This window comes from Homo sapiens, chromosome 19, assembly GCF_000001405.40.
Source record: "Homo sapiens chromosome 19, GRCh38.p14 Primary Assembly".
NCBI lineage: Eukaryota > Metazoa > Chordata > Mammalia > Primates > Hominidae > Homo > Homo sapiens.
The window spans coordinates 53,431,974-53,458,641 of NC_000019.10; the positions used below are offsets into that span (position 1 = coordinate 53,431,974).

At 44.1% G+C, this 26,668-nt stretch overlaps 2 protein-coding genes and 1 pseudogene across 7 annotated transcripts in view, besides 1 other annotated feature; all 3 read left to right on the forward strand.

Annotated features, from left to right (window-relative positions):
* Window positions 1-12,699, forward strand: TPM3P9 (tropomyosin 3 pseudogene 9; annotated as a pseudogene). Its single transcript, NR_003148.3, has 2 exons — window positions 1-55; window positions 9,823-12,699. The product of NR_003148.3 is annotated as a tropomyosin 3 pseudogene 9 (transcript).
* Window positions 1-26,288, forward strand: part of ZNF765-ZNF761 (ZNF765-ZNF761 readthrough) — a 63,113-nt gene extending 36,825 nt beyond the window's left edge. The window contains exons 10-13 of the mRNA NM_001350496.2: window positions 14,254-14,364; window positions 15,223-15,310; window positions 17,539-17,665; window positions 22,677-26,288. Coding sequence (NP_001337425.1) covers window positions 15,296-15,310; window positions 17,539-17,665; window positions 22,677-24,775 — 2,241 coding nt within the window. The 5' untranslated portion in view covers window positions 14,254-14,364; window positions 15,223-15,295 and the 3' untranslated portion in view covers window positions 24,776-26,288. The remainder of the gene's footprint in view (window positions 1-14,253; window positions 14,365-15,222; window positions 15,311-17,538; window positions 17,666-22,676) is intronic.
* ZNF761 (zinc finger protein 761) lies at window positions 11-26,288 on the forward strand. 5 transcript variants are annotated; one of them, NR_110551.3, is made up of 6 exons: window positions 11-55; window positions 13,028-13,150; window positions 14,254-14,364; window positions 15,223-15,310; window positions 17,539-17,665; window positions 17,906-18,360. NR_110551.3 is itself a non-coding variant. In NM_001008401.4 (6 exons), exons 4-6 carry the CDS (start codon window positions 15,296-15,298, stop codon window positions 24,773-24,775), a joined length of 2,241 nt encoding a protein of 746 aa, NP_001008401.3. In that variant the 5' UTR covers window positions 11-55; window positions 13,028-13,246; window positions 14,254-14,364; window positions 15,223-15,295; the 3' UTR covers window positions 24,776-26,288. The 5 variants fall into 5 exon arrangements, 4 of the variants coding, with proteins under 4 accessions (NP_001008401.3, NP_001276880.1, NP_001276881.1 ...); NM_001008401.4 differs by lacking the exon at window positions 17,906-18,360 and adding an exon at window positions 22,677-26,288 and having other exon boundaries at window positions 13,028-13,246; NM_001289951.2 differs by lacking the exons at window positions 13,028-13,150; window positions 17,906-18,360 and adding an exon at window positions 22,677-26,288.
* Window positions 11,863-12,157: a silencer, noted in NCBI's record as "tiled region #10215; K562 Repressive non-DNase unmatched - State 17:Gen3'". NCBI's record gives its function as "represses a minimal TATA promoter and a strong SV40 promoter by Sharpr-MPRA in K562 cells {active_cell/tissue: K562}" and the evidence as "EXISTENCE:reporter gene assay evidence [ECO:0000049][PMID:27701403]".
* Window positions 26,289-26,668: the final 380 nt, after the last annotated feature.

A 26,668-nucleotide genomic window follows, 5' to 3' on the forward strand; every position in this document is an offset into this window, starting at 1 on the left:
AGATTCGTGCAGACCAGGAAGCGGATAGCGTGGAGTGACGGTGCCACCGCGGCGCGTGAGTTTCGCCCTGTCTTGTATTAAGTCTGCTCTTCCAGGTTCCTGGCGCTTCTGTACCTGGGACTTGGGATCCCCACAAACCTGGAAATTCTCAGCCGTCTTCCTTCACTCAGAGCAAATTGAGACGACCTCGTGAGAGGCCGTGGGTCGGTTCCTTTTGGGTTTAAGGTCCCCCTGAGGCTGGTCCCGTCCCGGGTGTTTCTGCTACAGGGCAATGTATACACTTTCTAACCTGTAGTTTTCCTGCTGTAAACCTTTTTCTGACTCCTCCCGCCCCGCGCTTTTTAAAGTCCTCACCTGAGAGGTGGATTCTCGCCTTTGTCGGCCCCTGGAGCCCAGCGCCGCTGCCCCAGTCCCGGAAAGGCCGCGTCCTCTGCCTGGTCCTAGGATCCTGCAGACCCCACCCTTGCCTTAAGGTGCTGTCGCCCCTTCACCTCCCTCCTTGTGCCGGGCCCTGCTGCTCCACGGGTTTCGCCTCCACAATCACCGCTTCCCCTGAGCCCGCGTTGGGGAGGTGCCCGGGGCCTGTCCTGTGACGCGGGGTGTTACTGCCTGCCCAGCTCCAGCCCCTGGAAAATGCGCTCCCCCGGGATGCAGGCGTCTTACTCCAAACCCTCCTGTGACTGTGTGGGCCAAAGGGATCAGGAGACGGACAGAGAGCAGTGGAAAACCTGAGACAGAAAAGAAGAATGAGAAAGACCTATAACAGATGGCAAAGTAGAGGATGGGTGAGGGATTTGCCAAGAGACAGCAAAAGTGAAAAGAAAACGATAAGAAAGCAGGAGGAGAAAAGCAAGTGCAGAAATGTAGAGAAAAGCTGGATGTACAGAGAGATGAAGGACAGCAAGGTAGGGAGAGGGACAGCAAAGAGGGAGGCTCATCAGGGTGAGGGAGAGGAGGAGGGATTTGGAGCCAGGGCAGACAGAGCAGAGTGGTGCTGGTGGCAAGGAGAACAGAGGGAGAAGCACAGCAGGGAGGACACCTGGGGATCTGGGGTGCTAGAGAGTGGGGACAGGGGGGTATAACAGGGAAGAGAGAATTTAACGGGGAGAGCAAAGGAGGCGCAGAGATGGTGTTGCGGGAAACTGAGGACTAGACAGACTGATATGGGGGAGACAAAAGGATGTTTATTTAAGATACGCACCGGCTCAGTGGATTTACATCTAAAAAGCTGAGCATTTCAACAAAGACGGAGTGGGGTTTTTTGCTTTCAGAAGCAGAATAAAAGCAGTTAATCATATAATGATAGGTCATGTAATCTATAGCATAGCATAACTTGTGTCCTTCCATAGCTGGTGGCCTCGTAGCTGAGTTGAAAGAAAAACAAGAACAGCTAAATACACACATTTGTCCTTTTTTTTTTTTTCTTCACTCTTGTTCTGGGAAGGTGGGGGGCTGTCTGGAGCCCATTTCTTTGGCTTCGACTTCGCCAAGTCGAGCTTGCTAGGCAGAGGAAAACTTGTTCTTCTTTTCTTTTTAACCCTTGCCTTGCCTGTTACTTTTCTTGGAGTGAATGAATGCATGTTTGTTTTTTAACTTTCTGCCTCAGTTTTCTCCCTTAGATGCCTTTTATGAACAAGATTTTACTAGAAGACATCACTATTACTGGATTCTTCATGAAAGAGCACTGGCTGATATTTATATCGGGCTATTAGCTGAGTGGTAGTCTGCCTGGTCGCAATTGCTTCTATAGTTGATTGAATGCTCTTAACACGGAGAGGTAAGAGGTAAGGGAGTATCAAACCAATTCTTAGTATGGCTAGAACTACTCCTATTAAGGTTTTGAATCTACTGAAGGAGGAAAACCAGCCTCTAAAGACGGACTCAAGAGTCTATTTTGTCTAAGTCCGGACTGGAACGTGGGCTAATTTTTTCATTCTTACAGTTATTTCTTTAATAGCCTTCCTATTGTCATTGATTTCTAGGCAGCAATTAGTTAGATTACACTTTCTACATACTCCTCCTTCCTAGGCTAGGAGGTAGTCTAAAGCTAATCTATTTTGGTAGATGGCATTTCTCGTTTTTGTGGCTTGCTGGGCCAGTAAGTCTAATGCATTTGCTGTTTCATTAGTGATGATTTCAAGTACTGCTTGCGAGTTTATGATGCGGTTAAGTGTGTAAATTGGGGTGCAATACCTTCGTGACTTATCTTGTGCCCAGGTAGCTGGCCTAGAGTACTGAATTAGTCTTTCAGGAGGCAAATCTGTGTCTTTCTAATCTTCTATTTCTATGTATTTCCTTATGTCTATATATCTTTTGTTTTTTTCTTTAATTTTATTGTAGACAGGATACCTTCAAGTTTCTCCCTGTTGCAGTGGGAGTAAGAAGAAAGATGGTCTAATTGTTTCAAGTACACTAGCCCTTGTCCATTTTCCTGGCAACTGTCGGTAGGCCTGTGGCCCACAGATCCAATAGAGACCAGAGGGTGCTTGCCAGGTATTTGGAGCTTCAAGCTGATACTAGGTGTGGTTTAGAGAAGAGAAACAGGAGAATGGGTTTGGATGAGGTGATCTGGAGTCATCTTTGCCTTGCCACAAAGTTTTCTTTAGTGTTTTATTATAATATTGCTGTCTTAAACAAGTTAATTCTTCCAGTGAGTCTGTAAAAGCTTTTCCTTAGTGAGCAACCCAGTATCTCCTGATAATAGAAGTTTTTAAGAGCTAGGTGCTTGAACTTGTGGGCATCGGTTCGGGGGAAGAGTCAGTTAGAGTTAAATTATCTTGTGGCATTAACTCTTTTGCTTCTTAAGGCCATTGGTCTACTATGTTCGTCCTTCTACAAACAACATGAGGAAATGCTTAAGCTGCTAGCAATCAATGTTTTCAGCTAACCAAGCAAACAGGTTTTTAGCTAAAGGATGATGCTCTGGTAACTTCTGGTCTACATGCTTATGGAATGATTTAAAGACTCGGAATTGTTGCTGGTCCGGGTTCCTTTTTGATAACATATAGGTAGGTTGCTGGGTAGGTGTGTGTGGAGACACGTATGGGGTAACCTGCAGTCCGCATGGGTAAGTCTGGCTTTAGAATGGTGAAATTTACAGGATTACAGGTTGGACAAGCATCAAAATACAGAGAAATAGGCCATCGGTAAAAGGGGGGGACCTTGGTTTGGTTTAAGAGGTGACTTTCTTTTGACCTTGCACGAATTTAAACTATTCACCAGGTGAAATCTTGGGGTTATAACATACATAAGGTTGGTTATTTCCTGGTCACAAATTGAGTAACTGAGTAGGTCGTCTGGCTATAAATACAAGTCCTTTTTTTTTTTTTTTTTTTTTTTTTTTTTTTTGAGATGGAGTTTTGCTCTTGTTGCCCAGTCTGGAGTGCAATGGCATGACCACGGCTCACCACAACCTCCACCTCCTGGGTTCAAGCGATTCTCCTGCCTCAGCCTCCTGAAAGGCTGTGATTACAGGCATGCGCCACCATGCCTGTTTAATTTTGTATTTTTATTCAATACGGGGTTCTCCATGTTGGTGAGGCTGGTCTCGAACTCCCGACCTCAGGTGATCCACCCATCGTGGCCTCCAAAAGGGCTGGAATTACAGGCATGAGCAACTGTGCCTGGCCTTTATAAGTACAAGTTCTTAAGTGAGTCCTTGTACACTCATAATAAGTATGGTGCAGTAGAGTCTTAGTTATCCTGTTCCCTGACCAGGTAGTATGTGTACAGTGGGGACACATTTCTATAGTTGCTTCTTCTACCATGGTTAAGGGGGGTGACAACAGCAAAACAGTGTACAGCATGTTCATATCCAGCAAGGACAGAAGAGGGCCTTGCCTGGCAGAGGAGGTTGAGCACAACGACAGAACAATAATAAAACAGTTAGTATTACAAGGAAAACTACTAGTCTTAAGATTTCTAACCACATTTACTTGCTTGACGAGTCCTCAAGCTTCGGCCGTGCGTAGACTAGTCAGCTTCTGGTGTGTGACTAGAGCTGGGCTTGTCGTCCCCTCCAGCTTCAGCTGTGCATAGACTGGTCAGCCTCCAGAGTGACCAGAGCAGGGCTGTCGTCCTCAGCAGCAGCTTGGTCTCATCTCAGGATCGGCTGAGTTGGATGATCTGGGTCTTGCTGGCTGTTCCACTTGTCCTGAACTGCTGGTTTCAGCTGACTGTGGTGGACCTATGGCATGATTCCTGCAAATTTAACAGCAGTGGGAGTGGACAAGATTACAGTACAGGGCCCATCCTATATGAGTCCTAGAGAAGTTGGATTCTACTTTTTAACCTAAACAGAGTCTCCATGTTGAAAGGGGTGTACTTGATCTGTCAGACTTATAGGCATTCTTTCTTGTATTCAGTTATGGACTTCTTGCATGGCTGTTCTTAAAGCCTGCATTTGCTTGCTTAAAGTTAATTCCTCTAGTTCTTGGAGATCACCTTTAATTTGACTTATGATTAGGGCAGGCCGACTGAACAAACTCTAATAAGGTGAATACCTAGTTTGTTTGGTGGGGGTGCACCTGACTTGGAGGAGGACCATACGAAAGAGCTGATCTTATCTCAGATGAGTTTCTTGGCAGTATTTCTTCAGTAGCTGCTTGAGTGTCCAGTTCATGCGCTTTACTTTCCTTGAACTTTGTGACTGATAGTCTGTGTGTAGCTTCTATTTTATTTTTAGCAGACTTGTGAAATCTTACACTATTTCAGCTACGAATGCTGGCCCATTGTCTGACTTTAAAGGTAGAGCCAGTCCAAACCTGGGGATAATGTCTTTTATCAGTACTTTAGTCACTTCTTGCACTTTTCCCCTGGTGGAGAAAGCCTTAACTTATCTTGAAAAGGTGCAAATAAGCAATAGCATATACCCATAGCCTCTGGCACGGGGCAGTTCGCTAAAGTTTATAAGCAAGTTTTCACAAGGCACGGCTCCTACTTCTTGAATTCTTGGGGCTGAGTGGGCCCCTGTCGTGGGTTATTCTCAGCACAGGTTAATCATTGTTCACAAACATCTTGAGTGACAGCAGAGAGCCACGGCACATAGAAATGGCACTTTCGTGACCCAGCGCAGTGGCTCATGCCTGTAATCCCAGTACTTTGGGAGGCTGAGGCAGGCAGATTATGAGGTCCAGATTTGAAGACCAGTCTGACCAACATGGTGACAACCCATCTCTACTAAAAATACAAAAAAAATAGCCAGTCGTGTTGGCAGGCGCCTGTAATCCCACCTACTAGGGAGGCTGAAGCAAAAGAAACACTTGAACCTGGGAAGCAGAGGTTGCAGTGAGCCAAGATCGCACCACTGCACTCCAACCTGGGCGACAGAGCAAGACTCCATCTCAAAAAAAAAAAAAGAAAAAATGGCACTACATAACGTTGCTAATGCTGTTTTTCTTATATGATTTTCTTGATGGATTTGCTTCACAAACTTAGGAGCTAACATCTTTGGAATGGCTAGTCTCCTATAGAAGAACTTCTTTTACTTTCTTTTCATACATTTTATATCTTCTTGGCACACCAGGATCTTTGATTTGGAGTATAACTTGGGTCGTCTTGGAGAGGAGGTTCTGGGAGGAGAGGCATAGCTAAGGCTTCCTCTTTAAAATGCAGCGTGATCATTGCTGCCTGCTTTGCCTCCCTGTCTGCTTTTCTGTTTCCTTTGGCTTCTGGCATCCTTGCCTTTTGGTGGCCTCTGCAATGCATTATAGCTACTTTTTCTGGAAGCTATACAGCCTCTAAGTGCTGTAGAATCTCTTCTTTGTACTTTATTTCTTGCCTCTAGCTGATAAAAGTCCTTTCTCTTTATATATAGTTCCATGTACATGCAAGGTAGTAAAAGCATACTTAGAATTAGTGTAAATACTGACTTTCTTCTCTTTTGCTAGCAACAGTGCTCTTGTCAGGGCTATTAATTCTGCCTTTTGAGCTGATGTTCCGGTAGGCAGAGGCTGAGCCTCTACTACTGAGTCTGATGTTACCACTGTATACCTGGCATGTCCAAACTCTTCCAGCACAGAACTACTTCCACCTGTGAAGTACTTGACATCTGGGTCTCTGAGGGGTCTGTCTGTAAGATCTTTCTCATTGGGAAATACCTCGTCTACTGTTTTGACACAGTTATGGAGAAGAGCTGCCTGTTCGACTGGGAGCAGAATAGCCAGGTTAGGGTGTTTAGTGTTCTAAAGTTGTGTAAGGGTTTTCACATAGAAGCCCTTGGTACCAAGTCATCCTCAGGTTTGATAACTAATGGTGCCTTCTTTGATCCATCAAAGTTATGACTGAATGTGGCACCGGGACAGTTAGTTGCTGTCCTAGAGTTAATTTGCTAGCTTCTTGTGTTAACAAGATGGTGGCAGCTAATGCCTTAAGGCAAAGAGGCCATCTTAACACCATGGAGTCTAGTTGTTGGGATAAATATGCCACTGGGTGACGCCATGATCCTATAAGTTGAGTCAGAGCCCCTATAGTCATTGTTTTTTGTTCATGAACATATAGAAAGACTTAGTTATGTCTCATAGTCTTAAGGCTGGGGCCTGGGTTAAAGCTTCCTTGATCTGTTTGAAGGCTATTTCTTGGTTAGTTTTTTAAAAGAGGGGCTCCTTTTCCCCTCCTTTTGTGGCGTCATATAACAGCTTAGCCATCAGTGAAAAACTTGGAATCCAGATGTGGCAGAATGTTGCTGCGTCTAAAAATTCCTATTTGTCATCGGGTAGTCGGAGTTAGAAGTGCACAAATGGCTTGCTTCCTCTCATAGCCAAACCAGTGTTCCTCGTGGCTCAATATGACACCTAGATATGTAACCTCTTCATGGAAAATTTGGGCTTTCTTTTTTGATATTTTGTAACTTGCTTTCTATAGGAGATGGAGGAGATCCTGGGTTCCCCGATAACACTCCTCTCAGGTTGGGGCAGGCAAAGAAAGCTCGTCTATGTACTGCAACAAGGCACAGTTGTTACTTGGCAGGGTATAGGCCATGAGGTCTGAGGCCAATGTTTCTCTAAAGATTGTGGGAGAGAACGGGGCATGGTGGTTTGCGCCTCTCATCCCAACACTTTGGGCGGCCACATGGCTGGATCATGAGGTCAGGAGTCCAAGACCAGACTGGCCAAGATGGTGAAACCCTGTCTTTACCAAAAATACAAAAATTAGGCAGCCATGGTGGCAGGCGCCTGTAATCCCAGCTACCCAGGAGGCAAAGGCAGGAGAATTGCTTGAACCGAGGGGGCAGAGGTTGCAGTGAGCTGAGATCGTGCCACTACACTCTAGCCTTGGTGACAGAACAAGACTCTGACTCAAAAAAAAAAAAAAAAGATTGTGGTAGTTGTTTTTGTTGTTGTTGTTGTTTTTGAGATGGAGTCTTGCTCTGTCACCCAGGCGGGAGTGCACTGGCGTGGTCTCGGCTCACTGTAAGCTCTGCCTCCCTGGTTCACGCCATTCTCCTGCCTCAGCCTCCCGAATAGGTGGGACCACAGGCCCCCAGATTGTGGTAGTTTTTAAACCTTTGTGGGAGTCTAGTCCAGGAGAGCTGTGACGCTTCTTTTCTCTTATGAAATGCAAAGATAGGCTGACTAACTGGTGCCAGACAGATAACAAAAGAAAGAAAGCATCCTTTAAGTCTAAGACTGTAAGCTAGCACTTGCTGGAATAAGAGCTATCAAAGTATACGGGTTGGGTACCACTGGATGGATAGTTACTGTGGCCTGGTTTATAGCATGCAAATATTGCACTGGCCTGTATTCATTTGAACCTGGCCCTGGCAATGGCTTCTGAACTGGCAAAAGCAGAGTGTTCTAAGGCGACTGGCATTGGACTAAAATCTTATGTTTATAGAGCCGTTCTAAATGCTTGCAGATGCCCTGTACAGACTTTTGGGGAACTGGGTACTGATGAACCCGAACAGGAGTTGCTTCTGGTTTTAATTCTGCTACTACTGGTGCATGATTTACAGCTAAACCAGGTGGGTTGTCCTCAGCCTATACTCCAGGAATTTCTTTAGCTAACTGAAATAATGATTTTTGTTCTTCTTGCATATGAGGTTGCACTGGTACCTGAAAAAGAGGCTGGGTGCTGTGGCTCACTCCTATAATCCCACCATTTTCAGAGACTGGGGCAAGGGCATTGCTTGAGTACAGGAGTTCGAGACCAGCCTGGGCAACATAGTGAGACCCCCCCGTCTTGGCCAAAAATAAATAAATAAATAAAATGAACCAGGCATGATGGTGCACACCTGTGCTCCCAATTACTCTGGAGGCCAAGGCAGGAAGATCACTTGAGCCCAGGAAGTCCAGGCTGCTGTCAGCTGAGATCATGCCACTGCACTCCAGCCTGGTCAACAGAGTGAGACCCTGTCTCAAAAGAATAAAAGGGGTGGGGGACTTTGGGTTCAGATGAGTGGGTGAGTTCACTGGGTATGATTACTTGTGACATGTTGACTTCTGTGTATATAATCTAATAACTTAAAATTTGTTTAAATTATACAGATGAGATTGAGAACTTAAAAATTCCTATCTATAAGGCATGTACATTGTATAAATCTTGGCATAGAGGTCAGCTTCCACTTGGAATCCCTATTCAGCCAGAGGGCAGTGACTTATTCAGTTGTGAATTACTCTGTTCCCTTTTTGCAGGATGGGGTAGGAAGTGGGGCAATGAAGTGGGAAAAAAATCTATTTCTGTTATTACATAATACTTTTAATTAAATTAATTAATAATTAGTATTTTGAGACAGGGCTGGCTCTATCGCCCAGGATGGAGTGCAGCATGATCTCTTCTAACTGCAGCCTCGACCTCCTGGGCTCAAACCATCCTCCTACCTCAGCTTCCTGAGTAGCTAAGGTCACAGGCATGAGCCACCAAGTCAGGCAAGTTTTGTACATTTTTGGTAGAAACGCGTTTCACTACGTTTCCCAGGCTGGTCTCAACATCCTGAGCTCGAAGGATCTTCCTGCCTTGGCCTCCCAAAATACTGGGATTACAAGGATAAGCCACCACACCTGGTCTACATAGTACTTTTCAAAAGGGATATCAAAACGTGGTGGCCCCTGCCATTAACCACAGCACTTTGGGAGACAGAGGCGAGTGGGTCACCTAAGGTGAGGAGTTCAAGAGCAGCCTGGCCAACATGGTGAAACCTGGTCTCTGCTAAAAATACAAAAGTTAGCCAGGCATGGTGGTGTGCACCTGTAGTCATAGCTACTGGGGAGGCTGAGGCATGAGAATCACTTAAACTTGGGAGGTAGTGGTTGCAGTGAGCAAAAATCCTGCCACTGCACTGCAGCCTGGGTGGCAGAGCAAGTCTCCATCTCACAAAAACAAGCAAACAAAAAATAAAAAACAAAAGGGACATCAAAAGTGCTTTTGTTTTCATGTGTAATAGATTTACTTTATTTTATTTCTGTTTCTTCAATTCTTTATTTTACTTATTTATTTATTTTGCAGTTTGAGACAAATGTTAGTTTCGGGTTTTTTTGTTTTTTGTTTTTTTTTTTTTGGCAGAATCTCACGCAGTCACCCAGGCTGGAGTGTAGTGGCATGATGTCGGTTCACTGCAACCTCTGCCTCCTGGTTTCAAGTGATTCTTTTGCCTCAACCTCCTGAGTATGTGGGACTACAGTCCCGCACCACCACACCCAGCTAATTTTTGTACTTTTAGCAGAGATGGGGTTTCACCATGTTGGCCAGGCTGGCCTTGAACTCCTGACCTCAGGTGATCCACTCGCCTTGGCCTCCCCAAAGTGCTGGGATTACAGGCATGAATGACCATGCCCGGCTGAGATAAATCTTAGTTTTCAAAATTTCTTTTTTAATTCATAATCACAGAGAGGAGTCTGCAATGCCGAGTGGAGGAAGGAGGAACCGGAGTGTGAGCAGTAGCTGGGTGGGCAGCATGGCTGGGATCACCACCATCGAGGCAGTGAAGCGCAAGATCCAGGTTCTGCAGCACCAGGCAGATGATGCAGAGGAGTGAGCTGAGCACCTCCAGTGAGAAGCTGAGGGAAAAAGGTGGGCCTGGGAACAGGCAGAGGCTGAAGTGGCCTCCGTGAACGGTAGGATCCAGCTGGTTGAAGAGGAGCTGGACTGTGCTCAGGAGCGCCTGGCCACTGCCCTGCAAAAGCTGGAAGAAGCGGGAAAAGCTGCTGATGAGAGTGAGAGAGATACAAAGGTTATTGAAATCTGGGCCTTAAAAGATGAAGAAGATGGAACTCCAGGAAATCCAACTCAAAGAAGCTAAGCACATTGCAGATGAGGCAGATGGGAAGTATGAAGAGGTGGCTCGTAAGTTGGTGATCATTGAAGGAGACATGGGATGCACAGAGGAACGAGCTGAGCTGGCAGAGTCCCGTTGCTGAGAGATGGATGAGCAGATCAGACTGATGGACCAGAACCTGAAGTGTCTGAGTGCAGCTGAAGAAAAGTACTCTCAAAAAGAAGACAAATGTGAGGAAGAGATGAAGATTCTTACTGATAATCTCAAGGAGGCAGAGACCCATGCTGAGTTGGCTGAGAGATCAGTAGCCAAGCTGGAAAAGACAATTGATGACTTGGAAGATAAACTGAAATGCACCAAAGAGGAACACCTCTGTACACAAAGGATGCTGGACCAGACTTTGCTTGACCTGAATGAGATGTAGAATGCCCCAGTCCCACCCTGCTGCTGCTCCTTCCTCTGACCCTGACTCTGCCTGAGGCCAGCCTGCCCGAAGCTGACCTTTACCTGAGGGCTGATCTTTAACGGGAAGGCTGCTTTCTCCTTTTGCCACCCCCTCCTTCCCTGCCTCTTTTTCACCAAACTGTCTCTGCCTCTTCCTGGAGATTCCAGCTGGGCTAGAGGCTGAGAACCTTTGCAAACAACATTTAAGGGAATGTGAGCCCAATGCATAATGTCTTTAAAAATCATGTTGTGAAAAAAAAAATACATAATCACTTCTGAAAGATGCCTTTGTCACATCCTATAATCAGCTCACATCATTTTTTTCTGTACAAGTATATTTTCCAGTTATTTACCTGTTGACCCCAGAATTTGTTAGATTTTTAAAAAAACAATTTCTAAATAGTTTCTGTTTGAAACTAGTTGCGTCCAGTTCAGATCAAGGTCTGCATGCTTTCTAGTCTTTATTATTTATTGGAAAACTTCGGTACCTAATACAAAAGTTTGATTGTTTCAGTGTGTACCTGGTAAAGAATCAGTGACCTTTTACCTTAACATCAAAATGTAGTTTAACCAGTTAATGTATTTTTCAGTTTTCTTTCCTTATGTCATCTGTGAACATCTTGAGCTGTGAGCTATTAAGTGCATGTTTCCCTCAAGGCCCTCTGGTCCATTCTGGACTAATGTTGAAAGATGGGATGGATTGGCATGGAACTGTTGGGGTGATCAGACCCAACACCGGGCTGTGGGGGCTAAGAAGTCCAGTGGAGTCAAAGGAATGAGAAAAGACAAGTTAAGAATGCATAAGGTGGGTCCAGGGGGCCAACGCTAGTATGGAGGCTGCAATAGACCTGAGCTCTGGAAGCCCACACTATTAGTGATCAAACAAAGCAGCAGGTGGTGAGGATGTGGGGTTTGAAAGGAAGCAGTGCATCAAGCACATGATCTATAGGTGTGTCAGGTTAACATTTATATGGAACATGTTCTGCTACTTGAGATCATGGGGAACATATTCTTCTAGTTTAAGATACAATCATTTTATGAGTCTGGGAGTGCTAGAAGCAAAGAACCATCAAGTCTAGGCACATTCCAGAGGCCACGAGGGGTTTTATGCCCTGAAACCTGGATTCCATCCAAGCCACAAGGGGTTTGTTGGGGAAAGAAAGAGAGATCAGACTGTTACTGTGCCTATGTGGAAAGAAGAAGACATAAGAAACTCCATTTTGTTCTGTACTAAGAAAAATTCTTCTGCCTTGAGATGCTGTTAATCTGTAACCCTAGCCCCAACCCTGTGCTCACAGAAACGTACTGTGTTGATTCAAGGTTTAATGGATTTAGGGCTGTGCAGGATGTGCTTTGTTTAAAATGTGTTTGCAGGCAGTATGCTTGGTAAAAGTCATCACCATTCTCCAGTCTCAAATACCAAGGGACACAATGCACTGCAGAAGGCCACAGGGACCTCTGCCCCAGAAAGCCTGGGTATTGTCCAAGGTTTCTGCCTGCTGAGACAGCCTGAGATATGGCCTCATGGGAAGGGAAAGACCTGACTGTCCCCCAGCCCAACACCCGTAAAGAGTCTGTGCTGAGGAGGATTAGTGAAAGAGGAAGACCTCTTTGCAGTTGAGATAAGAGGAAGGCATCTGTCTCCTGCTCGTCCTGGCAATGGAACGTCTCGCTGTAAAACCTGATTGTACATTCTATTTACTGAGATAGGAGAAAACCGCCTTATGGCTGGAGGTGAGACATGCTGGCGGCAATACTGCTCTTTACTGCACTGAGATGTTTGTGTAAAGTCAAACATAAACCTGGCCTACATGCACATTGAGGCACAGCACCTTTCCTTAAACTTATTTATGACACAGAGACCTTTGCTTACGTTTTCCTGCTGACCCTCTCCCCACCATTAGCCTGTAGTCCTGCCACATTCCCCTCACTGAGATGGTAGAGAGAGTGATCAATAAATACTGAGGGAACTCAGAGACCAGTGCCGATGCGGGTCCTCCGTATGCTGAGCGCCGGTCCTCTGGGCCCAGTGTTCTTTCTCTATACTTTGTCTCTGTGTCTTATTTCTTTTCTCAGTCTCTTATCCCAGCTGATGAGAAATAGCCACAGGTGTGGAGGGACTGGCCCCCCTTCAGGGTTTTATGCCTTGGGCTTAGGTTGTAATTTGGCAGGGCAGCCTTCCACCCTTTGGCACAGAGCTGGGTGTTCCAAAGACCACAAGGGGTTTTAGGCCCTGGACCCCGGCATGTTCCAAGACTCTTTATATTATGTCAGACTAGCAAGCCCTGCCTCAGCTTTTCCCCAACATGGAACGCTGTTCTAAAAGCACCCATGATTCTTTTTTTTCTTTTTTTTCTTTTTTTTTTTTTTCAGATGGAGTTTCGCTCTTGTTGCTCAGGCTGGAGTGCAATGGTGTGATCTCGGCTCACTGCAACCTCCGCCTCCCGGGTTCAAGCGATTCTCCTGCCTCAGCCTCTCGAGTAGCTGAGATTACAGGCATGATCCATTGCTCCCAGCCACCCATGTATTCCTGATTGAAAAAATTTGCTTATGTCTTAGTTCTACAGCTGACCCTCTTTCGCTATTTTCAAGGTCAATAGCTGTGTGTTCACACTTCTGCATTTTATAAATGTTACTGTGATTTTCTTCTAAGGAAAAATTAAATGTCAGGAATCAGTGGCATCAGAACCTTGCAAAAGAAGTTTCTTTAGCCCAGGCCTGTGAAAGATGCTTCTGTAATTTTCAAGGATAGGGGTGATAAAGACCAAGCCTTCCCATTAGCCCTTCCAGGCCCCCATGTAAGAATTCAGGCACACCTTCTCACTCATCTCAGACCTTCTCAGGGTAACTTGGTGAAAATTTCCCTGCTCTGAGCCCCAGTGAGCCTCCCTGCAACTTGGAGATGAGGGGCTAGACCAGAAAAGCTCAACCCGAGTGACCCAGTCCCCTGAAATGATCGGCAAAATAGTGCATGTCTTGGCGTGGCCTTTCTTCTGGCAGAGGGGAGTGCCCAGCTGTAATTAGAATTTTAAATGGGATGCAGTACCCCAAAAATAAAATTAAAAAAAATTTTTTAAAAAAACGTGAAAGAATGGAAGAAATAGAGGTGTAGACTCAGACACAGAGACCATCTTCGAGGCCTTTCTCTGTATGAGGACATCACAGCAAAATCTAAAGCAGGTCACGTCAGTCCCTGGCAGGGAACCCTCCACCAGCTTCCCGTGTTCCCCAGAACAAAAGCCCAACTCCTCACTGTGGCTCCACAGCCCTGTGACCAGGGCCCCTGCCAGTGTCCAGCCTCCTCCTGGGAGCTTGCCCTCATCTCATGACTCCCTCTGCCCCAGTCACATTTGCTTTTCTGTTTTCCCAGATATCAAAACCCTTCCTGTCTCAGGTTGCTGTCCCTGCTCTTACCCTATGTCCCTAAATGATCACGGCCCTGTGCCTTTCTTCTTCAGGTCTAGGCTCAGAGATGTCTCCCATGCCCTCCCAACCCCATCTGAAGTTCCCTCTGCCCATCAGTCTCTATCATGTTACTCAGGTTTTATTATCTCTACATCAATCACATCAGAATTTTTTTTTCTTTTTTTTGGAGACAGAGTATTGCCCGGGCTGTGAGTGCAGTCTCATGATCTTGGGTCACTGCAACCTCTGTTTCCTGGGTTCAAGTGATTCTTGTGCCTCAGCATCCCACGTAGCTGAGATTACAGGTATGTGCTACCACACCTGGCTAATTATTGTATTTTTATTTTTATATATTTTTTTATTTTTGAGTCTCACACTGTCACCCCAGACTGAAGTGCAATGGCATGATCTTGGCTCAGTGCAACTGCCACCTCCTGGGTTCAAGCGATTCTCCTGCCTCCACTTCCTGAGTAGCTGGGATTACAAACAACCACCAAGCCCAGTTACTTTTTGTATTTTTAGTAGAGATGGGGTTTCACTGTGTTGGCAAGGCTGGTCTCAAACTTCTGACCTCAAGTAATCCACCCTCCTCAGCCTTCCAGAGTGCTGGTATTACAGACATAAGCCACCAAGCCTGGCTCAGTTTTTTTATTTTTCGTAGAGACAGGGTTTCACAGTGTTGGCCAGGCTGGTCTCAAACTCCTGAGCCCAAGTGATCTTCACACCTCAGACTCCTAAGTAGCTTGGACAACCATGCCTGGCTAAGTTTTTGTATTTTTGGTAGAGATGGGGTTTCACCATGTTTCACCAAACTCCTGAGCTCAAGAGATCTATCTGCCTCAGCCTCCCAGAGTGCTGGGATGACAGGCATGAGGCACCAGACCCAGCATCTGCATGGGGTTTGGTCAGGGCTGGGTCTAGGGACCCAGGGCTGGGTCAGGAAGGGGAGCCCATTCCAGCCCAGCTCCCACTGTTGCAGCGTGTGTGTGGGCTCCTCTAGGAAAGAAGTGCGAGTTTTCCTGTGGCAGTTTATCATCCCTGGTGCAGTGGGCAGCAGACGGGACCATATTTCCCAGGGTGAGGTCGCCTTTGTATGTGTGGTTGTGTTCCACGGAGGTGGCGTGTTGATTCTGAGCAATAAACAACATATTTCTAACATTCAGGATTGACTTCTAAAGACTCTTGGTACGTGAGGAAGAAACCCGGAAGAGGAAGAGGAGAGCAAAGGAGTCAGGGATGGCTTTTTCTCAGGTGAGATGATATTTTCAGTGGATTGTTCTGTCTCCTTCCTTTCAGAAATGCTGGGCCTTGGAGTTGGGAATCTTCTCTGAGTCTGAAGCATCCTGCCTGACAGGTTTGCTCACATTCACCCATGCCTTCCCTCAGTCCCTCTTATCTCGCTTAGATTCCATCTCTCGTGATCCAGTGAGATGAACTTGGGAAGAGGCTGCACTGGGCATGGTCTTGGGAAGGGCTCACACCCAGACATGGATGGAGACGGGGTGAGGGTCCCATGGTGTCAGTGCTGTTGGACAGCAGGGATTGTTCAGGGGCCACATCTGGACGTACTGTCAGCTCTCTGTGGACCAGTATTAGAGCAGCTGCCAATGGAAGTCATGTATTCATGTGCACAAAGTATGTGGTAAATTCTAGAAAAGGTGACCAAGATCGAGAAATGTTTTCTGCCTGATTTTATAATACATTTTTAGTTTTTTGAGTGAGTTACTGTGTTTCTGACTCCAAAAATCTTAGTAATTAGAATGGAAAGTTCATACACAGACATGAAAGATAGAAGATGTTTTATTCTGTCATTATTTTAAGAATAGGAAATCAACCTGAACAATAGCAGGAGATTCATTAAACCATTCTTAGCACATTACGCTCATGGAGACTGTGGTGTTACCGTGGAGAGGCTTGTGAAACAGGTGTTTTCATTAAACGTTTTTATAATTTTTATTATTATGTTATGATAATATTATATTTTAAATATGCAGAGTCTTGCTCTGTCACCCAGGCTGAAGTGCAGTGGCATGATCTTGGCTCACGGGAACCTCCACCTTCCGGGTTCAAGTGATTCTCCTGCCTCAGCCTCCCAAGTAGCTGGGATTATAGGCGTGCGTCACCACGCCCAGCTAATTTTGTTGTATTTTTATTAGCGACGGGTATCACCATGTTGGCCAGGCTGGTCTCGAACTGCTGATCTCAGGTGATCTGCCCACCGCAGTCTCCCAGAGTGCTGGGATTACAGGTGTGAGGCACCATGCCCAGCCCCACCAATTATTATTAAATACATATTTTTATATTTAACCATCACATGATGTATCCATTTGTTTTGTGGTAAAACTCCAAGCAAAGCTGCAGCTTAGATTTTTTGCCATAATGCATCTCCTTTCCCTGTCACGTCCTCCACCCTCCTTCCAGCCTCACTGGGGAGCCACTACTGTCAGTTCTGTGCCAGGTGTCAGAGCAAGTCCCGTTCACGTGTATTTCTACATCGTTATGAGACTTATGAGATGATATCGTTATGAGATATAATCGATGAGATATAATGGATTTCCATACTTTGACTAATCTAGTTTTCATATATTTTCTTTTGAGACTGGGTCTCACTGTGGTGCCCAGGCTGGAGCACAGTGACGTGATCTTAGCTCACTGCAACCTCCACCCTAAGGCTCAAGCCATCCTCCTACCTCAGGCTCCCAAGTAGCTGGAACCACAGGTGCCTGCCACCATGGCTAGCTAATTTTTTTTTTTTTTTTTTTGAGATATAGTCTCTGTTGCCCAGGCTGGAGTGCAGTGGTGGGATTTCAGATCATTGCAACCTCTGCCTCCTGGGATCAAGCAATTCTCCTGCATCAGCCTCCCATGTAGCTGGGATAACAGGCATGTGCCGCTGTGCCCAGCCAGATTTTAGTTTCTCATCTTTCACTGTGAATGTTGTCATCTCTGAAGACATCACCCGTACTCTGTCTCATCTAGATACGGAATGTCACTTGCTGTGTCAATAAAAGTTTCTGGGCCGGGCGCGGTGGATCACGCATGTAATTCCAGCACTTTGAGAGGCTGAGTCAGGCAGATCACGAGGTCAGGAGTTTGAGACCAACCTGGCTATTACGGTGAAACCCCGTTTCTGCTAAAAATACAAAAATTAACTGGTTGTGGTGGCATGCACCTGTAATTTCAGCTACTCAGGAGGCTAAGGCAGGAAAATCGCTTGATCCTAGGAGGTGGAGGTTGCAGTGAGCGCAGACAGCACCAGTGCACTCCAGCCTGGGTGACAGACTGAGACTCCACCTCAAAAAAAAAAAATTTTAGTAAAACACAACTGGGAAGACAAAATGCGGTGAAAAATCCCTTACTCAGATTTGTTAGAACATTCACTGCATTTAAATCCATGCCTTCACCTCTCTTCTTCTCATTTTCTGTAAAGATAAGAACTCCTCTCATAACCATTTGGTTAAAATGTGTTTTCATTTCAGGGTCTATTGACATTCAGGGATGTGGCCATAGAATTCTCTCAGGAGGAGTGGAAATGCCTGGACCCTGCTCAGAGGACTCTATACAGGGACGTGATGCTGGAGAATTATAGGAACCTGGTCTCCCTGGGTGAGGATAACTTCCCTCCAGAAGTGGGAATGTGCCCTTGTGTATCTTTGTATTTTCTCTTGTTTTTAGATACAGTGTCTTGCTCTGTCACCCAGGGTAGAGTGCAATGGTGTGATCATGGCTCACTGCAGTCTTGAATTCCTTGGCTCAAGTGATTGTCCCACCTCAGCCTCCCCCGGTAGCTGGTACAGGTGCATGCCACCATGTTTGGGCAAATTTTTTAGTTTGTTTTCTTTCCAGACAGGGTCTTGCTGTGTTGTTGAAATTCATCTTGATCTCCTGAGCTCAAGAGATCCTCCTCAGTCTCCCAAGTAGCTGAGATTACAGGTGCCAACCACCATACCTAATTATTGGCTTTTATTTTTAAGATTTTTGCATATGTGTGGCCGGGCTTGGTGGCTCACGCCTGTAATCCCAGCACTTTGGGAGGCCAAGGTGGGTGGATCACGAGGTCAGGCGATCGAGACCAGCCCGGCCAACATGGTGAAACCCCGTCTCTACTAAAAATAGAAAAATTAGCCGGGTGTGGTGGCATGGGCCTGTAATCCCAGCTACTTGGGAGGCTGAAGCAGGAGGATCACATGAACCTGGGAATCGGAGGTTGCAGTGAGCCAAGATCACCACTGCACATCTGCCTGGTGACAGAGTGAGACTCCATCTCAAAAAAATAAATAAAATAAAATGAAATATTTGCATATGTGTGTCCTTAAGGCTAATATGAGTCTATGAGTTTCTTGTAGACAACATGTAGTTGGTTCCTATTGATTCAGCCAGTCTTTGGTTTCTGAATGCAGAGTTACTTACAGTGGAAGTATTACTGATGGAGAAGACCTTACCCTTGTGATTTTGTTACATATTATCTGTGTTTCTTGTAGGTTTTTTTTGTTCTTCATTTCTCATTTACTACTTTTTGTGTTTAATTGCTTTTTTGTGTAGACATGCTTTGACTCCCTTCTTTTATTTACTTCTTTTGTTTGTTTGTTTATGATGGAGTCTCACTCTGTCGCCAAGGCTACAGTTCAGTGGTACGATCTTGGCTCACCGCAGCCAGCTCCGCCTCTCGGGTTCAAATGTTTCTTGTGCCCCAGTGGCTCACGCCTGTAATCCCAGCACTTTGGGAGGCTGAGGCAGGCAAATCACCTGAGGTCAGGAGTTCAAAACCAGCCTGCCTAACATGGCGAAACTCCATCTCTACTAAAATACAAAAATTAGCCGGACACTGTGATGGGCGCCTGTAATCCTGCTACTCAAGTGTCTAATGCAGGAGAGTCACTTGAACCCAGGAGGTGGAGGTTGCAGTGAGCCGATTGCACCACTGCACTCCAGCCTGGGCGATAGCACGAGACTCTGTCTCAAAAAAAAAAAAAAAAATTCCATAACCTGCAAAAACTATTTCTCCACTAGAACTCTGTATTTATGTCAGAATTATTTCTGTGTATGTTGCACTTTCATCAACCTATATGGATACTGTGTTTTCATGCTTTTTTCTTCTAAATAGGAAAAAAAGTTGAATTATGAAGAAAAGGTACACTTATAACAGTTTATGTGTCCTTTTATTTGCCTGTTCATTTATTTATTTATTTGTTGATGAGATGAAGTTTTGTTCTTGTCGCCCATGCTGGAGTGCAATGGCACAATCTCGGGTCACTCCAACCTCCAACTCCCAGGTTCAAGCAATTCTCCTGCCTCAGTGTCATGAGTAGCTGGGATTACAGATGTGTGCCACCACGCCTGGCTAATTTTGTATTTTAATAGACACAGGCTTTCTCCTTTTTGGTTAGGCAGGTCAGAAACCCCTGCCCTCAACTGATCCACCAACCTCGGCCTCCTAAACTGCTGGATTACAGGTTGAACCACCGCACCCAGCCTGTCTGTCTTTTTATTTACCTTTACTGGAGAACTTTATATATATCTGTGGGTTGGAGTTACTCTTTAGACTTCTTTCATTTCTTTCTTTTTTTTAAGATGGAGTCTCGGTCTGTCACCCAGGCTGGAGTGCGGTGGTGCGACCTCAGCTAACTGCAACCTCTCCCTCCCAGGTTCAAGTGATTCTCCTGCTTCAGTCTCCCAGGTAGCTGGGACTACAGGCACATGCCACCACACCCGGCTAATTTTTTTTTTTTTTTTTTTTTTAGAAACGGGGTTTCACCGTGTGAACCAGGATGGTCTCGATCTCCTGACCTCGTGATCCTCCTGCCTCAGCCTCCCAAAGTGCTGGGATTACAGGTGTGAACCACCATGCCTGGCCAGCCTCAAAGTTTTTAAAACATGTTATTGCTATTAGATGGCTTCAAGTATTGTTAAGATTTATAGTACAGGCTCTAAACTTCCTTTGTTTAATCAGATTTTTCAGCCCTCGGTGATGTTGATGAGATGCTCCTGTTCCTGTCTCAGTCATTTCACTGTCCTGTCAGAAATAGCTTAGACTGGCCACCCGAGGTGGCTCATACCTCTAATCCCAACAGTTTCGGATGCCAAGGTGGGCTGATCACTTGAAATCAGGAGTTTGAGACCAGTCTGGCCAACATGGTGAAACCTCGAATCTACTAAATACAAGAAATTGGCCAGTTGTGGTGGCTCAAGCCTGTAATCCCAGCACTTTGGGAGGCTGAGAGGGGCAGATCACCTGATTTCAGGAGTTCGAGGCCAGCCTGGCCAACGTGGTGAAACCCTGTCTCTACCAAAAATACAAAAATTAGCTGGGCATGCTGGCGCATGGCTGTTATCCCAAGTACTCACTAGGCTGAGGCAGGAGAATCACTTGAACCTGGGAGGTGGAGGTTGCAGTGAGCCAACATTGCCCCACTACACTCCAGTCCAGGTGACAAAGTAAGACTCGGGCTGAGGCGGGAGAATCTCTTGAGGCAGGAGAATCATGCCACTACACTCCAATGTGGGTGACAGAGTGTGACTCGGTCTCAAACACAAACAAAAAGAGAAATAGCTTAAACTGGGAGGCTTCAGACACAGAAATTTATTTCTCATGAATTTGGAAAGTGGGAAATCCAAGAGCAAGGTGCCAGCCAAATTGGTTCCTGGTGAGAGCATTCTTCATGGTTTAGCCCAGCCATCTTCCTGCCGTGTCCTGACATGGTGGAAACAGGAACAGGCAACGAGCTCTTTAATATCTCTTTTTATGAAAGCACAAGTCCTATTCACGAGTAGTCAACACCCGTGACCAAATTGTCTCAAAGGCCCCATCTGCAGAACATCCTTTTGGAGAATAAGAACTCTGAACATGGCTTTTGGCCAATATGAACATTCAGACCAGGTAGCCTGCATCATATTTTTTATGTTTTTATTGTGCAATTTGATTTATAAAATGTTTTCTCTGATCTTAGTTTAAAATTTTTCCCAGTGCACATTCTGTGTTTTATATTTTGTGCATAGTGAGCTAGATAATTAAGGTCAACAATGCACAGGTGCAATCTCGGCTTACTACAACCTCCACTTCCTGGGTTCAAATGATTCTCCTGCCTCAGCCTTCCAAGTAGCTGAGATTACAGGCACCCACCACCACGACCAGCTAATTTTTTTGTATTTTTAGTAGAGTTGGGATTTCACCATGTTGGCCAAGCTACTCTCGAACTCCTGACTTCATGATCCGCCTGCCTCAGCCTCCCAAAGTGCTGGTATTACAGACCGTGCCCGGCTGTTAGTCAATTCTTATTCCTTATAATGCTGTGCACTTCTTTGACCTCATAAATCAGATGGTAGTGATCTTAACATGTATTTCAGTTTTTATATTGTGTGCTGGTTGTAAGTAGAAGTTTGGCGTTTTTCTTAATGGAATTGTTTAGAATTTTGCAGGTTGTATAAATGTACTTATTCTTTGCTTCCTGGTTTTATGGATTACAATATTTTACTAATTAATTTTTATGATTGTACATGAGGCTTTTCGGTATGTGGTATGCAATATAACTGACACAGTCCACTAGCTAATGTCACACAGTGCCACCAGATGCTGTGGCTCACACCTGCCATCCCAGGACTTTGAGAGGTTGAGGCGGGTGGATCACTTGAGGTCAAAAGTACGAGGCTGGCCTGGCCAACGTGTTGAAACCCTATTTCTACTAAAAATACAAAAATTAGCCAAGCATGGTGGTGTGTGCCTGTAATCCCAGGTACTCAGGAGGCTGAGGCAGGAGAATGGCTTCAACCCAAAAGGTGGATGTTGCAGTGAGCCGAGATCAGGCCATTGAACTCCAGCCAGTTGCAACAGAGTGAAACTTCATCTCAAAAATATAAAAATAAAAAAAATGTTTTAATGTCACAACGTGCCTTTTCTTCATGGATATAGGTAATTTTATGACAGTTATTCAGAAAAACATTGTATTAACTTTTTTTTTTTTTGAGGTAGAGTCTCACTTTGTCACCCAGGCTGAAGTACAGTGGTGAAATCTTGGCTCACTGCAACCTCTGCCCCTTGGGTTCAAACAATTCTTGTGCCTCAGCCTCCCGAGTAGCTGGGACTAGATGTGGGCCACCACGCCTGGCTACATTTTGTAATCTTTTCTTGTCTTCTCAGTGCTATGACTGTTTGACAATACAGAATTTCCATTGATTTTGGTTATCCTTACATGAGCTTGTTGTGGATTATTTACCAATATAGTATATCGTGTGGTCCTTTAGCATTTATTTGTATACAGTAAATATGCTGTAAATATGAAGAATATATACTTTTCATTGATATGACAGTGATATGTTTTTTACAAACTGTTAGACACTTTAGGGTCACAATGGAAAAATATTCCTTACTTTAGGCTACACATGTTTGTGCCCTGTCAATGTTTTGTCACGATCTTGGAAATAGACTTCCGTAAAAATAATTTGAAGCACATGTAATCGCCCTTTATTTGTTAAAGAATCTTATGCTTTTCTGTTCCTAAACTTTGAGGGTCATGTTTGGAAAGTTTAAAATAACTATTGTTTTTTGTGTCGTATTTACACATTTCAGCATTATTTACCATCTGTACTTAATTTGAAAGCTTTCGGTGTTTATGTTTTGTAGATATCTCTTCCAAATGCACGATGAAGGAGTTCTTGTCAACAGCGCAAGGCAACAGAGAAGTGTTCCATGCAGGGACATTGCAAATACATGAAAGTCATCACAATGGAGATTTTTGCTACCAGGATGTTGATAAAGATATTCATGACTATGAATTTCAATGGCAAGAAGATGAAAGAAATGGCCATGAAGCACCCATGACAAAAATCAAAAAGTTGACAGGTATTACAGAACGATATGATCAAAGTCATGCTAGAAACAAGCCTATTAAAGATCAGCTTGGATCAAGCTTTCATTCGCATCTGCCTGAAATGCACATATTTCAGACCGAAGAGAAAATTGATAATCAAGTTGTGAAGTCTGTCCACGATGCTTCCTTGGTTTCAACAGCCCAAAGAATTTCTTGTAGGCCCAAAACCCATATATCTAATAACCATGGGAATAATTTCTGGAATTCTTCATTACTCACACAAAAACAGGAAGTACACATGAGAGAAAAATCTTTCCAATGTAATGAGAGTGGCAAAGCCTTTAATTACAGCTCACTCTTAAGGAAACATCAGATAATCCATTTAGCAGACAAATATAAATGTGATGTATGTGGCAAGCTCTTTAATCAGAAGCGAAACCTAGCATGCCATCGTAGATGTCACACTGGTGAGAATCCTTACAAGTGTAATGAGTGTGGCAAGACCTTCAGTCAGACGTCATCCCTTACATGCCATCGTAGACTTCATACTGGAGAGAAACCTTACAAATGTGAAGAATGTGACAAAGCTTTCCATTTCAAATCAATACTTGAAAGACATAGGATAATTCATACTGAAGAGAAACCATATAAGTGTAATGAGTGTGGCAAGACCTTTAGGCAGAAGTCAATCCTTACACGCCATCATCGACTTCATACTGGAGAGAAACCTTACAAGTGTAATGAGTGTGGCAAGACCTTTAGTCACAAGTCATCCCTTACATGCCATCATAGACTTCATACTGGAGAGAAACCCTACAAATGTAATGAGTGTGGCAAGACCTTTAGTCACAAGTCATCCCTTACATGCCATCGTAGACTTCATACTGGAGAGAAACCTTACAAATGTGAAGAATGTGACAAAGCTTACAGTTTCAGATCAAATTTTGAAATACATCGGAAAATTCATACTGAAGACAATGCTTACAAGTGTAATGAGTGTGGAAAGACCTTTAGCCGGACATCATCCCTTACATGCCATCGTAGACGTCATACTGGAGAGCAACCTTACAAATGTGAAGAATGTGACAAAGCTTTCCGTTTCAAATCAAACCTTGAAAGACATAGGAGAATTCATACTGGAGAGAAACCATACAAGTGTAATGAGTGTGGCAAGACCTTTAGTCGGAAGTCATACCTCACATGCCATCATAGACTTCATACTGGAGAGAAAGCTTACAAGTGTAATGAGTGCGGCAAGACCTTTAGTTGGAAGTCATCCCTTACCTGCCATCGTAGACTTCATTCTGGAGAGAAACCTTACAAGTGTAAGGAGTGTGGCAAGACCTTCAATCAGCAGTTAACCCTTAAACGCCATCGTAGACTTCATAGTGGAGAGAACCCTTACAAATGTGAAGATAGTGACAAAGCTTACAGTTTCAAATCAAACCTTGAAATACATCAGAAAATTCATACTGAAGAGAATCCTTACAAGTGTAATGAGTGTGGCAAGACCTTCAGTCGGACGTCATCCCTTACATGCCATCGTAGACTTCATACCGGAGAGAAACCTTACAAATGTGAAGAATGTGACAAAGCTTTCCGTGTGAAATCAAACCTTGAAGGACATAGGAGAATTCATACTGGAGAGAAACCTTACAAGTGTAATGAGTGTGGCAAGACCTTTAGTCGGAAGTCATATTTTATATGCCATCATAGACTTCATACTGGAGAGAAACCTTATAAGTGTAATGAGTGTGGCAAGAACTTTAGTCAGAAGTCATCCCTTATATGCCACCATAGACTTCATACTGGAGAGAAACCTTACAAGTGTAATGAGTGTGGCAAGACCTTTAGTCAGAAGTCAAACCTTACATGCCATCGTAGACTTCATACTGGAGAAAAACAAGTGTAATGAATGTGGTGAGGTTTTTAATCAACAAGCACACCTTGCAGGTCATCATAGAATTCATACTGGGGAGAAACCTTAGAAATGTGAAGCATGTGATAAAGTTTACAGTGGCAAATCAAGCCTCAGAAGACAGGAGAATTCATACTGGAGAGAAAGCTTATAAATGTGAAGAATGTCACAAAGTTTACAGTCGCACATCAAACCGTGAAAGACAGGAGAATTCATACTGGAGAGAAACCATAAAAATGTAAGAGTTTGTGACAAGGCTTTTGGGCATGATTCGCACCTGGCACAACATGCTAGAATTCACACTGGAGAGAAACCTTACCAGTGTAATGAGTGTGGCAAAGCCTTTAGTAGGCAGTCAACACTTGTTTACCGTCAGGCAATCCATGGTGTAGGGAAACTTTACTAAGGTAATGATTGTCACAAAGTCTTCAGTAATGCTACAACCATTGTGAATCACTGGAGAATCCATAAGGAAGAGAGATCATACTAGGGTAATAAATGTGGCAGATTTTTCAGACATTGTTCATACCTTGCAGTTCATCGGTGAACTCAACGCTGGAGAGAAACCTTACAAATGTCATGACTGTGGCAAGGTCTTCAGTCAAGCTTCATCCTATGCAAAACATAGGAGAATTCATACAGGAGAGAAACCTCACATGTGTGATGATAGTGGCAAAGCCTTCACTTCACACCTCATGAGACATCAGAGAATGCATACTGGACAGAAATCTTACAAATGTCATCAATGTGCCAAGGTCTTCAGTCTGAGTTCACTCCTTGCAGAATATGAGAAAATTCATTTTGGAGGTAGTTGGTCCATATGCAATGAGTAGAGCAAACCATCAAGCATTAATTGACATTAGGGTCAATTCAGCATTGACTTGAGTTTGTATTGACTTAACATTGAGTTCAAGCATTAATTGACATTAGTGTTTATGTTAAGAGGATTGGGCCAGGCACATCAGCTTACACCTGTAATCTGAGCGCTTTGGGAGGCCAAGGTGGGTAGATCACTTGAGGTCAGGAGTTTGAGATCAGCCTGGCCAACAGACGTGAGCCATTTTCCCAGCCTGTTTTTTGTTTCTTTAAAAAAACTGATAGGGATTTTTATGGATATCATGTTGAATCTAAATCACATTGGGTTATTATATAATCATTTCACAATATTAATTTTTCCAAGCTATCAATATGGGTTGTAGCTCAATGTTTTTAATCATTTTGATCAATGTTTGTAGATTTCAAGGTACAAACTTCTGACCTTTGTACGTTTATTTCTAAGTATTTCTTTAAGTTCTCCAGCAAATGGAAGTGTTTTAAAATTTTCTTTTAAAATTGTTTATTGTTAAAGTATGGAAATTCAACTAATTTTTGGTGCTGATACTGTATTGTGCAAATCCACTGACTATGTTACTTAGTTCCAGTAGTATTTTGGTTGGCTCTTTGTGATTTTCTACACAGAAGATTATGTCATCTACAAACAAATATAATTTTACTTCTTACTTTCTGATTTGGATGAGTTTTATTTCCTCTGCTATTTCATTGCTCTGGCTGGGACAGCCAGTATTGATTGAATAGAAGGGGTGAGAGCATTCTTGCATCATGTGAGAGCCTCCAGGAAAGGCATTACATTTTCCCTGCTTGACTGTTTACTCATTGGTCATTTCATGGACGGTCTTTCTATTGTTGAGGTAAATTTCCTTTTCTGTCTATTTTGTTTAGGATTTCTATGATGACTGGATTTTGAATTTTGTGAAATGCTTTTTCTCTATTAAGATGATGTGGTTTTCATCTTTTGTTCTGTTCAAGTGGTATATCACATTGATTTGCTTGAATATGTTGAACCATCCTTGCATCCCAGAAATAAGTGGCACTTGAATATCTACATTT

Coding starts and splice junctions, on each gene's coding strand:
- ZNF761 (NM_001008401.4), top strand. Junction 17,666..22,676: donor TAGGAACCTGGTCTCCCTGG/GTGAGGATAACT, acceptor TATGTTTTGTAG/ATATCTCTTCCAAATGCACG.